We start from the raw sequence: 13,419 nt of genomic DNA on the forward strand, positions 1-13,419 counted from the left end.
ATTATTGGGAGGTCGCTGTCTCACGCATACCATGGCCTTTTCCCACAGAAACCCCGGAAAAACTCAACGCCACTTTAGGTATGACAGTGAAAGTGACTTACAGAAATTTCACAGAAAAGATGAATGACGCATCCTCCCAGGAATACCAGAACTTCAGTACCCTCTTCAAGAATCGGGTAAGACCAGGGCACACCCAGACACCCCAGGGTGATGTCCCACGTGAGAGGAAATTGGGGGGTGCACCCCAACTTAGTGATCTGAGTTCTTCTGCTCATGAGCCCCCTCCCTACCAGTCTCCCTAAGTCTTGAAAGGAGGTCCTTTGAGAGCTTCCAGCCTTCAGCCCCACATGACCCACATTATGGCAGAGGGAGCTTCCTGGGTTGGTGGTTCCTCCTATGGGAGCTTACCTGGGCTCCACAGAAAGGTGCCTAGGGCTGCCTCAAGAAGGGTAACAGGAGAGTCTTCATGCTCTAGCTTTGTGTGACCTTCGCTGCCTTGTTTCTTTCAGATGGATGTCGTTTTGAAGGGCGACAATCTTCCTCAGTATAGAGGGGTGAACATTCGGAGATTGCTGTGAGTATATTGGGGGGCAGGTTTATAGATGTGGGGAAATCCTCCTTGTCCCTGCTTTCCTGCCTCCTCCTATCATGAATGGCTAGAATATCAATACTGGTTGGGTCAGAGAGTCCTGCAGCCGCTAGGGAACACTGGGGGCTGTGACACCTTTCATTCTTCATTCATTCATCCACTCAACACACATTTGTTGAAAGCCAGCCCCCTGCTGGGTGCTGGGAACACAGTAGTCCCAGTTTTCCTTGAGCTCAGAGTGGCAGAACACAGATGGAAAAGTGGCTAAGCAGTCTGCTTAGAGTTTCAGTAAGGGGCACACAGGGTGCCCTGGGAGAGGTCCCAAAAGCAAAGCTTGGTGTGGCAGAAGGAATTCTTCCTGGAAAAACTGGCAACAGGCTGGGCGTGGTGGTTCATGCATGTAATCTCAATGCTTTGGGAGGCCAATGGGGGAGGATCACTTCAGGCCAGGAATTCGAGACTAGCCTGGGCAACATAGCGAGATCCCATCTCTACAAAAAGAAAAAAAAATGTAACAGCAAAACTGAGGCTTGAAGGATGAGGAGGAATGATCCAGAGAGAGGGAAGGGAAGGAGAGGCAGTTGCAGCAGAGGGAATCGATGAGAAGAAGCCCAGAGGGGAGAGAGAGGAGGGCAGATTCCAGGAACCTAAAGACGCTCAGAACGGCTGGGTGCTTAAGAGCAAAGGAGCAGTGATGGGGGAGGAGGCTGGAAAGATGGCTCATGCCAAGTTAGTTAGACTTTTGGCATCAGCAGTGTAGACCCATGAGGGATAGTGTCTGGTCTGCAGAGTAGATAGCTCAGTCTGGCTGTAGGGTAGAGATTGCATAAGCAGAAGCCTGTACTGGAGATGATGGTGGCCTACACCAGATAGGTGACAGTAAAGGAGAAAACAGGTCCAGTGTGAAAGGTCTTTGGGAGGCAGGACCAGCAGACCTGGGATTTGCTGCAGGAGAGGAGGGAGGGAAGAATGAGGAACGAGGGCAGATTTCTGGGCGGCTGGAGGTGTGGGGTGCCCTGTGCTGCGTGGAGGAATGTCATGAGGGGTAGAATGGGGGAAGGAGATGATGAGTTCAGTGTGCATCACATCAAGTTTCAAGTGCCCAGGGCCCAGCCACATGGAGTGGTTGCGTGATGCAGCAGTGGAATGTGCCCTAAAGGGTCTTATTTTGGGGGGATCGGGGGCAGGGTCTCGCTCTCTTGCCCAGGCTGGAATGCAGTGGCATAATTATGGCTCACTGCAGGCTCAACCTCTCGGGTTCAAGCAATCCTCCCACCTCAGCCTCTCGAGTAGCTGGGACTACAGGCCTGCGCCATCGTGCTTGGCTAATTTTTGTAATTTTTTTGTTTTGCTTTTTTTGAGACAGAGTCTTGCTCTGTCGCCTGGGCTGGAGTGCCGTGGTGCAATCTCGGCTCACTGCAGCTTCACCTCCCAGGTTCAAGTGATTATCCTGCCTTAGCTTCCCGAGTAGCTGGGACTACAGGCACATGTCATCACACCCAGCTAAATTTTGTATTTTTAGTAGAGACAGGGTTTCACCACGTTGGCCAGGCTGGTCTCGAACTCCTGACCTCAAGTGATCCGCCCGCCTTGGCCTCCAAAAATGCTGGGATTACAGGTGTAAGCCACTGCCCCAGCCTAATTTTTGTAATTTTTGCAGAGATGGGGTCTTGCTATGTTGCCCGGGCTGGTCTCAAACTCCTGGGTTCAAGTGATCCTCCCGCCTCGGCCTCCCAAATTGCTGGGATTACAAGCGTAAGCCACCACACCCAGCCTCTAAAGGGTATTATCAGAGACACAGGCATTGGTATCCCCAGTTGGATGTCACTGGAAGTCCTGGGAGTAGGAAGAGATGGCTCAGGTCGGGGGTGAGGGAGGGTCATGGCACAAAACGAGGGTGTCCCAGGAATGAAGCTGGAAAGCACCAACATTTAAGATCTAGCCAGAGCCCCCAGTGGAGAATGGAAAGAGGCAGATAGAGGGGTGGGAAGGGTGCTTCAAGGGTGCCGTGTCCTTGCAGCAGGGAAGAGAGGGTCCCGGTGCCCCAACCTTGCCCCTGGCTCAGCGTCGGCACCCTGGTCTTTCCATTTTGGCTCAGGATTTTTTTTGTCCAAGTCCTCCTGAGTCCTACTACTGACTTATCTTTCAAAATGACAGTGACAGATGACTTGCCTTGTCTCAAGATCTCTCCCCCCAGCTGCATCATTGGCTATTGAAGGAGTAGCTTCTAGGTTAGAAACTTACCTTTTTCTTTCTTTTTTAAATTTTAAAAAATGGGGTCTTGCTCTGTTGCCTGAAGTGCAGTGGTGCAATCATAGCTCAACACAGCCTCAAACTCCTGGGCTCAAGCCATCCTCCTGACGTAGCGTCCTGAGTAGCTGGGACTACAAGCGTGCACTAACTTGGCTGGCTAATTTTTGTATTTTTTGTAGAGATGGGGTCTCATCATGTTGCCCAGGCTGGTCTTGAACTCCTGGCCTCAAGCAGTCCTCCCACCTCGGCCTCCCAAATTGCTGGGATGACAGGCATGAGCCACCGCACTTCCTGCCCTGTACTTCCTTTTTAAGGCTAAATAATATTCCACAATAGACCACATTTGTTTCTCCATTTGTCTGTTGATGGACCCTTGGTTTGCTTCCACCTTTTGGCTATGGTAAATAATGCTACTAAAAACACAAGGGTACAAATATAAATTCAAGACCTGCTTTCAGTTATTTTGTATATATACCCAGAAGTAGAATTGCTGGATCATGCATTAATTCTATTTTAAATTTTTTGAGGAGCTCCATACTGTTTTCCATAGCAGCTGCACTATTTTACTTTCGCATCAACAGGACACAGGGATTCAAATTTCTCCACTTGTTCATCCAAGAGCCACTATTTTGCGAGAGATGAATTTCACTCATTGGCATTTATCATGATCACTGATATGTGAGATCTTGAATCGTTTCGCTCTCCTCCCTCTGTCTGGGTGGTTAGCTGCTGGAGGGAAGACTCTGTATTCTTTCTCACCTCTGGGTCACATGGCAGCTTCATCTCCCATTACCACTCTGGGTGCTTGGGCTCCACTTGCTGGCTGGGTGGTGACATGGGTAACTGATGAAACGATTCCCACTTCCAGCAACGGTAGCATCGTGGTCAAGAACGATGTCATCCTGGAGGCAGACTACACTTTAGAGTATGAGGAACTGTTTGAAAACCTGGCAGAGATTGTAAAGGCCAAGATTATGAATGAAACTAGAACAACTCTTCTTGATCCTGATTCCTGCAGAAGTAAGCTCACCTAAAACCCCTTGACACCTGTGGGTGTCTTGGAGATCGTGACCTTGACCTCTCCCTCCTCTACGTCTTCTTTCTTCTGGTACTCCCAAGACTTCTGCCACAGGAACCCAGAAGCCAGGCCCAGGGTGCCTTCCCCAGATCCCAAAGCTGCTCCCAACAGCCCCCTCTCGGTCCCAGGCTGAGGCTATCATATCCCCATTTGAGCCTCCTCACAAGCCCAGCTGCATGTCTAGGGTGGGCAAAGACTCCCACGGGCATTGGCCCAGGGGAGGGCATGGTATAGAAGAGAGAGGCCTGGCTACCCCCAGGGAGGCAGAGGGAAGTGTTTCTATTCCATCTTCCTTCCCATCCACTCTCGGCAGAGGCCATACTGTGCTATAGTGAAGAGGACACTTTCGTGGATTCATCGGTGACTCCGGGCTTTGACTTCCAGGGTAAGCGACTACGTGGAGCGTGGGCACTAAGAGTGGGGGCTGGGATGCTTTGGCCAGGCTCATGCATGCTGCCCGCCCCTCTCCCTCAGAGCAATGCACCCAGAAGGCTGCCGAAGGATATACCCAGTTCTACTATGTGGATGTCTTGGATGGGAAGCTGGCCTGTGTGAACAAGTGCACCAAAGGAACGAAGTCGCAAATGAACTGTAACCTGGGCACATGTCAGCTGCAACGCAGTGGCCCCCGCTGCCTGTGAGTGTCCCCATAAGCCCAGCACCCACTCTGTCCTGGTGATAGGGCCCTCCCCCTCCCCAGCAGTCACCCACAGGGTTGGGGGATTGAGTAGAGCTTGGGAGGTGCCTCCTCCCCACTCCTGGACATACCTCTCCCCTGTAATCTCATTCCCACCCCCCACACCCACAAGAGTGAGGAGTAGGAGTAGATTATAGACATAGAGGTCCCAAAGCTGGGCAATCCCTTCCTGAGAAAGTTCATGCTGTCAATTTCCAAATCTATCTCTATCTCTATCTTTGTCTGTATCTCTATCTCTATCTCTATCTTTGTATCTCTATCTCAATCTCTATATCTGTCTATATTGTTAATTTCCCTTATGTCATCTCTGCCATGCTGTCAAGATTACCTCTAGCTGCAGCCACAGCACTAAGTCCACAGACCATAAATTAAGGTGCAAAAGAAAAACCATGATAACAGGCCCATTTAGGTAGCAGATGCTTAGAGATTAGGTGGGTGAATGGTACGTGTCTGGGACGAGACACCCAACACTCTCAGGTCCCCTTGAGCCCTAGTCATTTGAATTCCTGATCTGCAGTCTCCAGGTCCCCCCAACTCCCTCAGTGCCCATCAGCCTGAGGAAGTCAGGGACCCAGGCTCTCTGGGGGCTGAGCTCCAGCCGTTGGAGTGAGGGAGATCTGGTTTCCTGTGCTTAGGAGAGTGGGTTAACCCTTGGGATATTGGATGTGAGGGATCCCAGGGGATCAGCGTGAGCTTGTCTGTGTCCCCAGGTGCCCAAATACGAACACACACTGGTACTGGGGAGAGACCTGTGAATTCAACATCGCCAAGAGCCTCGTGTATGGGATCGTGGGGGCTGTGATGGCGGTGCTGCTGCTCGCATTGATCATCCTAATCATCTTATTCAGCCTATCCCAGAGAAAACGGCACAGGTGAGCTTGTGAGGCCAGCACCGCAGGCCCACACAGAGGGGACAGATCCTGGGGTGGCCACTGTCTGAATGTCCTAAGGCTCTGCTCCTTCCAGGCCAGCAATCAGAGAGGTCAGCTGAGGCCAGATGGGGTGCCCAGACCCTCCCAGCCCTGGGTGCAGCAAAGGGCGGCCTTCCTGTAGGATACATCAATTTGGCAGTGTTTTAGTCCATTTTGTGCTATTATAACAGAATACCACCACTGGGTAATTGATAAACAATAGAAGTTTATTTGGCTCACAGTTCTGGAGGCTGGGAAGTCCAAGATCAAGGGGCTGCATCTGGTGAGGACTTTCTTGCTGCATCACAGCATGGCAACATGGCAGTCTGCAGCACATGGACAGAGAGGAAGAGAGGGCTGAACTCACTTTTTTTTTTTCTTTAAGAGACAGGGTCTTGCTGTCACCCAGGCTGGAGTGCAGTGGCATGATCTCGGCTCACTGCAACCTCCGCCTCCCAGGTTGAAGTGATTCTCATGCCTCAGCCTCTCGAGTAGCTGGGATTACAAGTGCATTCCACCATGCCTGGCTAATTTTTGTATTTTTAGTAGAAACGGGGTTTCACCATGTTGGCCAGGCTGGTCTTGAACTCCTGACCTTGAGTGATCCACCCACCCTGGCTTCCCAAAGTGCTGGGATTACAGGTGTGAGCCACCGTGCCCGGCCTTAAATTAAATTAAATTAAATTAAATTAAATTAAATTAAATTAAATGTGTTGTAGAAATAGGGTCTCACTATATTGCCCCGGCTGGTCTGAAACTCCTGGCCTCAAGCAGTCCTCTCACCTCAGCCTACAAAGTTGTTGGGATTACAGGTGTGAGCTGTCACCCCTGGCTGTCTGAACTCGCTTTTATTACACACCCACTTTTGAGATAATGATGTTAATCTATTCATGAGGACAGCACCTTCATGACCTAATCATGTCTTCAAGGTCCTACCTCTCAGCATTGCTGCCTTGGGGATTAAATTTCCAACACATGAACTCTAAGGGACACATTCAAACCATAACACAGAGAATGGAAACAGAAGCTTATGTGTGGAAATTAGACTATGTAATGACATTCCCTGTAGTTAGTTATCACTCACCTTGGCCACCACAGAGCACAGCACCACATGGGGAAGCTGAGATGGAGCGTCTGGGTCTCACTTTTCCCAGCTGTAAAATGGGATAAGATGCACCTGTGAAGGTTGCTGGGAAACCCTGGCACAGTACCTGACCCGAAGTCAGCAACTGAAGGGAGCTACCCTACGCCCCCATCTCATGGATATGGAAACTGAGGGCCACTAAAGGGAGTGAGGGGCAGCCAGGAGGCCTGGCCAGTGCTTGCCTTGGTAGAAGGGAAGCCATGGTGATGCTACTTTTTGTTCTCTGCCATCATCGCTGCCATCTCTGACTCGGGGTGTGGCTGTGACTGTCCCCTCGAGGGAAGCTGAAGGTCAGGGTCCACCAAGTCCCTCCTCAGCCTCCTTGCCTACAGCTGCTCAAGGCATTTCTGTCTGCAGGGAACAGTATGATGTGCCTCAAGAGTGGCGAAAGGAAGGCACCCCTGGCATCTTCCAGAAGACGGCCATCTGGGAAGGTACCTCTAGTTAAGGGCAAGGAGATGAGCAGAGCTGGAGGGTGAAGAAAGGCAGGGCGGTGCCTGTGCCTGTGGGGGTGACGTGGGGTCCAGCCCCCCTTTGGGGTGGCTGTGACTGACAGCCCGTTCCCTACCTGCCGCTGCAGCCCCGGACCCAGACACCACCCCTGCTGTGTGCAAGAGTGCAGGAGTGGTTGAGAACCAGATCTTGCCCCCAGAGACCAACTCAGTGAGGGCATCCAGTGCACACTCAGCTAAGCGGGGTGATAGGGCCATTCCCAGGGCAGAGGGAGCAGAGGGGTGGACCTGACCCAGCCTGGGTGGGGATAGGGGGTCAGATTAGCCCCCAGGTGAGACTGACTCTTGAATAGGTGAGTAAGCAGGTGTGCTTCCTCCTTCAACACAGTGGGAGCCCAGTAAGCAGGGAGGCCTTATCCCAGTGAGGACAAGGGAAAGGGCACCCCAGGCAGGGGGCACTGCATGAGAAACGCCTGCAGTTGGGAAGGAGCTTGCTTTTGGCGGGGAAGGGAAGGCAGGTCAATCTCACAAAGAAAGAGTGAGGGACGTGAGGTTGGCAGGGCTTTGGGAATGGGGTGGGGGGTTGAGGGGCTTTGGCCGCCCACCTTTTTTTGTGAGACAGAGTCTCACTCTGTCACCCAGGCTGGAGTACAGTGGCACAATCTTGGCTCACTGCAACTTCTGTCTCCCAGGTTCAAGCGATTCTCCTGCCCTCAGCCTCCCTAGTAGCTGTGATTACAGGCATGCCACCACGCGTGGCTAATTTTTGTATTTTTAGTAGAGACTGTAGAGACAGGGTTTCATCATGTTGGCCAGGCTGGTCTCGAACTCCAGACCTTAGGTGATCCGCCCGCCTTGGCCTCCCAAAGTGCTGGGATTACAGGCGTGAACCACCATGCCCGGTCACATTTTGAATTTTTTTTACTCAAAAGGCCATTCAGGGAGCACTAAAGCAGGGAGACCAGGTGGAGGAAGTGAGGCTGAGGGGGTGGGGGGAGGGAGAGGAGACGCAGCCTGGTGGAGATGAGGCTGAGTGGGTGGGAGAGGGAGAGGGAGTGAGGGAGGATTTCCGGGATTGTCCGAGCTGACCCTTGGGCCCCGAAGGATGGGGGAGAAGCAGCCGGTGGAGCACACTGAGTTGGGGGGCTGGTGGGTGCTGAGGAGGAGGCTGCAAGGCTCGTGCCTGTCTGAATCTCCGGGAGGGGTCTGCAGCCTGAACCACGTACTGGAATAGAGGTTTGTCCATTCATCGGGGAGAATGCAGAGTGAGAAGTGAGGAGGGTGAAAGGAGAACCCCCCCCCAGGAGCCCCCGTAGAAGGACAGGTAGGGCATGAGGACCCCGATCTAGGAGGACGCAGGAAAAGAGGGGTCAGAGGTGCAGGGAGAGCCCCGGAGTCCAGAGAGTGAGTGGTTCTGCGGGACCAGGAAGTAAGTGATCGCTGTGCTCCGGGAGGATGCTGGAAGAAGATTCCAGACGCAGCTTTTTTGCCTGCTATGGTTACCGTTGCTATGAAGGAGGGCGGCCCTGCTGACCCAGAGCCAGCCCTGTCTCCCGCTCCACTCTGACCTCACCCCTGAGTCCAGGGCTGAACGCACGCTCCTCCGTGGCCCCCGCTTCCACCCCGTGCATGTGGGGGGCTTCTGCTCCGCTCCCTCCTGTTCCGGGGTCCAGCGGGCGGCTCCCCAGGCAGGCTCTGCACTTACCCGCAGCCCAGTGATGCAGGGTCGGAGGGGTGGTCGGCAGTGGGAAAGGGCGTAGGGCAGATGCCGGGCTGACTCTTCCTTTTGCCAGAGGAAATCCCCTCTGCCCCCTAGTCCTCCCCCTACCAAGGCTCCCATCACTCATCACGGCCTCTCCCTACAGACCAGAATCTGAGGGAGAGCAGATTCGGCCTTGAGAACGCCTACAACAACTTCCGGCCCACCCTGGAGACTGTTGACTCTGGCACAGAGGTGACTCAGCTGCGAGCTGCCCCCACCCCCTGAGGCTGCTCCACTTCCTCTGGGGTTCCCTCTTCCCCCGGGACTCCCTTCTCCCCCTGGGACTCCCTTCTCCCCCTGGGACTCCCTCCCTTCCCCCTGGGACCCCTTCCCTTTCCCTTCCCCCTGGGACTCCCTTCCTCCCCCTGGGACCCCTTCCTTTCCCCCTGGGACTCCCTCCCTCCCCCTGGGACCCCTTCCCTTCCCCCTGGGACTCCCTCCCTCCCCCTGGGACCCCTTCCCTTCCCCCTGGGATTCCCTCCCTCCCCCTGGGACCCCTTCCCTTCCCCCTGGGACTCCCTCCCTCCCCCTGGGACCCCTTCCCTTCCCCCTGGGACTCCCTCCCTCCCCCTGGGACCCCTTCCCTTCCCCCTGGGACTCCCTCCCTCCCCCTGGGACCCCTCCCTTCCCCCCTGGATTCCCTCCCTCCCCCTGGGACCCCTTCCCCTTCCCCCTGGGACTCCCTCCCCTCCCCCTGGGACCCCTTCCCTTCCCCCTGGGACTCCCTCCCTCCCCCTGGGACCCCTTCCCTTCCCCCGGGACTCCCTCCCTTCCCCCGGGACTCCCTCCTCCCCCAGGACTCCCTCCTCTCCTTAGGACTCCCTCCCTCTCCCTGGGACACTCTCCCTACCCCTGGGACTCCCTTCTCCCCCTAGGACTCCCTCCCTTCTCCTGGGACTCCCTCCTCCCCCAGGACTCCCTCCTCACCCTGGGGCCACCCCTTCCCCTGGGACTCCCCCCTCCCCCGCCACTCCCTCCTCTCCCTAGGACTCCCTCCCTCCCCCTGGGACTCCCTCCCTCCCCCTGGGGTTCCCTCCTCCCCGCCAGGGCTCCCTCTTCCTCCTGGGGCTCCCCCTTTCCCGGGTCTGCCCCTTGGCCTCACCTCTTCTCTCCCGTCCCCCAGCTCCACATCCAGAGGCCGGAGATGGTAGCATCCACTGTGTGAGCCAACGGGGGCCTCCCACCCTCATCTAGCTCTGTTCAGGAGAGCTGCAAACACAGAGCCCACCACAAGCCTCCGGGGCGGGTCAAGAGGAGACCGAAGTCAGGCCCTGAAGCCGGTCCTGCTCTGAGCTGACAGACTTGGCCAGTCCCCTGCCTGTGCTCCTGCTGGGGAAGGCTGGGGGCTGTAAGCCTCTCCATCCGGGAGCTTCCAGACTCCCAGAAGCCTCGGCACCCCTGTCTCCTCCTGGGTGGCTCCCCACTCTGGAATTTCCCTACCAATAAAAGCAAATCTGAAAGCTCAGAATGAGAAGTGAGAGGTTTCCTTCTCCTCCTTCTGCAGTTGGGGTCAGGTTAGGGGTCAGAGCCCTCCTGGGATGGGATTTCTCCCAGGACTGGCTGCTGAATGGGGCATGGAACGAATGCTCTGGGCCCCTTCCTGTGTCTTTGCAGGGAGCCCCCTCCCCGGCTCCAGTCAGGACAGGTCTAGGCCTGCCTCTGCTGAGGTCCCTGTGGCAGAAAAGCCTAATGTCAGGTTCTGGGGACAGGAGAGGACCTCAGATTCAACCCCAGTTGGCCAGGGAGTGAGCACTTGGCTCTGCTGAGCTTGCACAAGGCAGGGTCACTCCAGATGGCCATGGGAGCTGTGCTTACCTCGGAACCCACAGACCAAACCCAAGAACTCCCTGCCCAGGCATGGCCATGTCTTCAGGGCATACTCATAGGACAATAAGAAGGGTTATTTTATTTATTTATTTTTGCCGAGACAGAGTCTTGCTCTGTTGCCCAGGCTGGAGTACGGAGGCACGATCTTGGCTCTCTGCAACCTCCGCCTCCCAGGTTCAAGCGATTCTCCTGCCTCAGCCTCCTGAGTAGCTGGGATTACAGGCGCCCGCCACCAAGTCTGGCTGATTTTTGTATTTTTAGTAGAGATGGTGTTTCATCATGTTGGCCAGGTTGGTCTCAAACTCCTCATCTCAAGTGATCTTCCCGCGTCAGCCTCCCAAAGTGCTGGGATTACAGGTGTGAGCCACCATACCCGGCCAATAAGAAGGGTTAGAAAAGAGACAAAGGGGGTGTCCCTGCTAGGGGTTAGGGTCAAATGCAGGTGGTACCCTCCTCCTTTCCCAGCTCAGGCCCAGTCCCTCTTGCCCATCTCCCACCACCCTCGGTCGGGGGATCTCATCAGTTCCCCCCTGGCTCCTACAGGCCCTCTGGGCTGCCCCTCTGTTGGGGTGATAAAGCTGATAACCCTCATGCCTATGGGCTGCCGGGCCAGGGAGAGGCACCCCCTCCCTCTGCCCTTTGGCCTGAAACAGGCCCTGCGCCCCAAGTCATGAGGGAAGCTTCCAGACTGACTCAGGCTCAGGCTGGCCCCTGATCCCCAGTGTCTCAGGGACCAAAGGTCTCTGGCACCCATTTATTTATCAGTTTCCTTCTCTGAGGCTCATTTCGCCAGCTCCTCTGGGGGTGACAGGCAAGTGAGACGTGCTCAGAGCTCCGATGCCAAGGCCAGGGACCATGGCGCTGTGTCTGCTGACCTTGGTCCTCTCGCTCTTGCCCCCACAAGCTGCTGCAGAACAGGGTGAGTGACCCCCACGCCCCGCTGCCCAAGAGGCCCCCATCCCAGGGGCCAGCCTGCTCTGTCTGCCCATCCCCGAGGGAGAGCTGCCTCCAGGACACCAATAGGGGTGTGCCCTCTGCCTGGAGCTCAGCCCTGTGCCTACCCCCTGGACTTCTCTTCTCTCCCCAGCGAGCTTTGGGGGAAGAGCCAGGGCATTGGAGCCTCTTCCAGTTGAGGTCTCTGAGCCTTAGTTTCCCCTTCCGAGCCTCAGTCTCCCCTCCGGAAAGTAAGAATAATAACACCTGCTTTTCAGGGCAGCTGCTAGGATTGAAAAGAGCTCCCCCCCCGAGGCATGATCCCTGGCACAAGACTGGTGTTCAACCCATATTAGAGTCTATCCTTACCCAGTGAATGTTCCCGCCAAGTCCCTGTCACCTCCCACACCAGCACACCCTGCTGTGTGCCCCAGGAATGTTTCCGGGACATAGCCACATGGGCACAAAATGGCGTTTCAGGAGCCCCAGATTCTAATCCTGCCATGAACCAGCTGTGCACCCTGGGGCCGCTCAGTTCATCTCCTGCCTCAGTCTCCCCAAAAGACAAGGCATTAGGACCTCTGAGGATCATTCCAGCTCAGCCGCTTTGGGCTTCATGGCCACAGGGACCCCGGGGGGCTCAGAGCAGGAGGGATGACAGTGGGTTCCAGCTGGACTCTCTGGGAGCTCCCTCTGCCCCTCACCTGCCCCCAGAGAAGGGCGCAGGGGAACCAAGACAGAAACTGGACCCATAGACCTCAGGGTCCCTGCCCCTCGAGATGTCACCCTGTGGCAATCTCACCCAGATCTGCCAGCCCATTCGTTGTAATGAAAACACTCCTTTCCTTGCACTTTCTGTGCCTTCCAGACCCTTGGTGATGTATCTCTAATAACAGCATCTTAGACATGATCTTTTGTTTTCCTCCCCAACCCTCACCTCTGTCTCCTCCTTTTTTTTTTTTTTTTTTTTTTGAGACGGAGCCTCGCTCTGTCACCCAGGCTGGAGTTCTGTAGCGTGATGTCAGCCCACTGCAACCTCTGCCTCCCGGGTTCAAGCGATTCTCCCGCCTCAGGCTCTTGAGTAGCTGGGATTACAGCCACATGCCACCATGCCCAGCTAGATTTTGTATATTTTTAGTAAGGACAGGGTTTCACCATGTTAACCGGGCTGGTCTCAAACTCCTGATCTCAGGTAGTCCTCCCACCTTGGGCTCCCAAAGTGCTGGGATTACAGGGGTGAGCCACCGCTCCTGGCCCCCTCCTTTCTTTCTCTCTGCTCCTCCCTTCCCTCTTCCTGGGTTCTTCTAGCCCCTTCCTTCCCCCTCTCTTCTCTTTCTTCTTCTCCCCACCTCTCCTTGGCCCCTTCCTGGCCTCTCCCCACTTTCTGCGTGTTATCATTGATTTCATCCCTAGCCTCAGTCTGCCTTTGTAGAATGTGACTTCTCAGACCCTGTTCCTACTCTCCAGGATTCTGTGGCTCCTCCGTCTCTGTGCCTGGCATTGGCTGTCCTTTGGGACCCTGGCCAGCTTTGGGCAGCCTCTGACCCTTTCCATGTCCCTTCTCCAGGGACCCAGAGCCTCACCCCTGCTGAAGTCATGGGGCTGGGGATACCAGGGCAGGGCGTGGGTCTAGAGAGAGAGCTGCAGTGGCCTCAGCCTGGTCCTTCCCAGCAGACACACCCTCTCATCCTGCAGATCACCTGGTTATATTGCTTGTCAACAAAACACAATGTCCTGTCTGTTTGCCCAGCCCGGCCCTGCCATCACAGATGC

At 55.2% G+C, this 13,419-nt stretch overlaps 2 protein-coding genes and 1 long non-coding RNA gene across 5 annotated transcripts in view, besides 5 other annotated features; 2 read left to right on the forward strand and 1 right to left on the reverse strand.

Moving 5' to 3' along the window:
• The window catches only part of MUC12 (mucin 12, cell surface associated), a 49,372-nt gene extending 39,021 nt beyond the window's left edge, over positions 1-10,351 (forward strand). Inside the window, exons 4-12 of the mRNA NM_001164462.2 lie at positions 49-176; positions 510-574; positions 3,711-3,862; positions 4,234-4,305; positions 4,395-4,557; positions 5,328-5,489; positions 7,030-7,106; positions 8,990-9,078; positions 10,010-10,351. Coding sequence (NP_001157934.1) covers positions 49-176; positions 510-574; positions 3,711-3,862; positions 4,234-4,305; positions 4,395-4,557; positions 5,328-5,489; positions 7,030-7,106; positions 8,990-9,078; positions 10,010-10,051 — 950 coding nt within the window. The 3' untranslated portion in view covers positions 10,052-10,351. The remainder of the gene's footprint in view (positions 1-48; positions 177-509; positions 575-3,710; positions 3,863-4,233; positions 4,306-4,394; positions 4,558-5,327; positions 5,490-7,029; positions 7,107-8,989; positions 9,079-10,009) is intronic.
• On the reverse strand, positions 5,735-9,023 carry MUC12-AS1 (MUC12 antisense RNA 1). Of its 2 annotated transcripts, none has more exons than NR_120520.1 (3): positions 8,830-9,023; positions 6,613-6,682; positions 5,735-5,854 (listed from the first exon to the last, which is right to left on the reverse strand). It is a non-coding gene; the product is annotated as an MUC12 antisense RNA 1 (long non-coding RNA). The 2 variants fall into 2 exon arrangements; NR_120519.1 differs by having other exon boundaries at positions 6,613-6,705.
• Positions 6,686-7,354: an enhancer, noted in NCBI's record as "H3K4me1 hESC enhancer chr7:100658552-100659220 (GRCh37/hg19 assembly coordinates)". NCBI's record gives its function as "activates a minimal SCP1, AML or CMV promoter by ChIP-STARR-seq in primed H9 embryonic stem cells {active_cell/tissue: H9 hESC(primed)}" and the evidence as "EXISTENCE:reporter gene assay evidence [ECO:0000049][PMID:30033119]".
• Positions 8,787-8,836: an enhancer, noted in NCBI's record as "active region_26395". NCBI's record gives its function as "activates an Ori minimal core promoter by ATAC-STARR-seq in GM12878 lymphoblastoid cells {active_cell/tissue: GM12878}" and the evidence as "EXISTENCE:reporter gene assay evidence [ECO:0000049][PMID:35858748]".
• Positions 8,907-9,056: an enhancer, noted in NCBI's record as "active region_26396". NCBI's record gives its function as "activates an Ori minimal core promoter by ATAC-STARR-seq in GM12878 lymphoblastoid cells {active_cell/tissue: GM12878}" and the evidence as "EXISTENCE:reporter gene assay evidence [ECO:0000049][PMID:35858748]".
• Positions 9,903-10,197: a silencer, noted in NCBI's record as "tiled region #8701; K562 Repressive non-DNase unmatched - State 10:DNaseD". NCBI's record gives its function as "represses a minimal TATA promoter and a strong SV40 promoter by Sharpr-MPRA in K562 cells {active_cell/tissue: K562}" and the evidence as "EXISTENCE:reporter gene assay evidence [ECO:0000049][PMID:27701403]".
• Positions 10,247-10,396: an enhancer, noted in NCBI's record as "active region_26397". NCBI's record gives its function as "activates an Ori minimal core promoter by ATAC-STARR-seq in GM12878 lymphoblastoid cells {active_cell/tissue: GM12878}" and the evidence as "EXISTENCE:reporter gene assay evidence [ECO:0000049][PMID:35858748]".
• The window catches only part of MUC17 (mucin 17, cell surface associated), a 38,779-nt gene continuing 36,855 nt past the window's right edge, over positions 11,496-13,419 (forward strand). For both annotated transcript variants that reach the window (NR_133665.2, NM_001040105.2), the window contains exon 1: positions 11,496-11,632. Coding sequence is in view for 1 of the 2 variants with exons in the window: in NM_001040105.2 (NP_001035194.1) it covers positions 11,551-11,632 (82 nt within the window). In the remaining variant the exon portion in view is untranslated. The remainder of the gene's footprint in view (positions 11,633-13,419) is intronic.

This window comes from Homo sapiens, chromosome 7, assembly GCF_000001405.40.
Source record: "Homo sapiens chromosome 7, GRCh38.p14 Primary Assembly".
Taxonomy (NCBI): domain Eukaryota; kingdom Metazoa; phylum Chordata; class Mammalia; order Primates; family Hominidae; genus Homo; species Homo sapiens.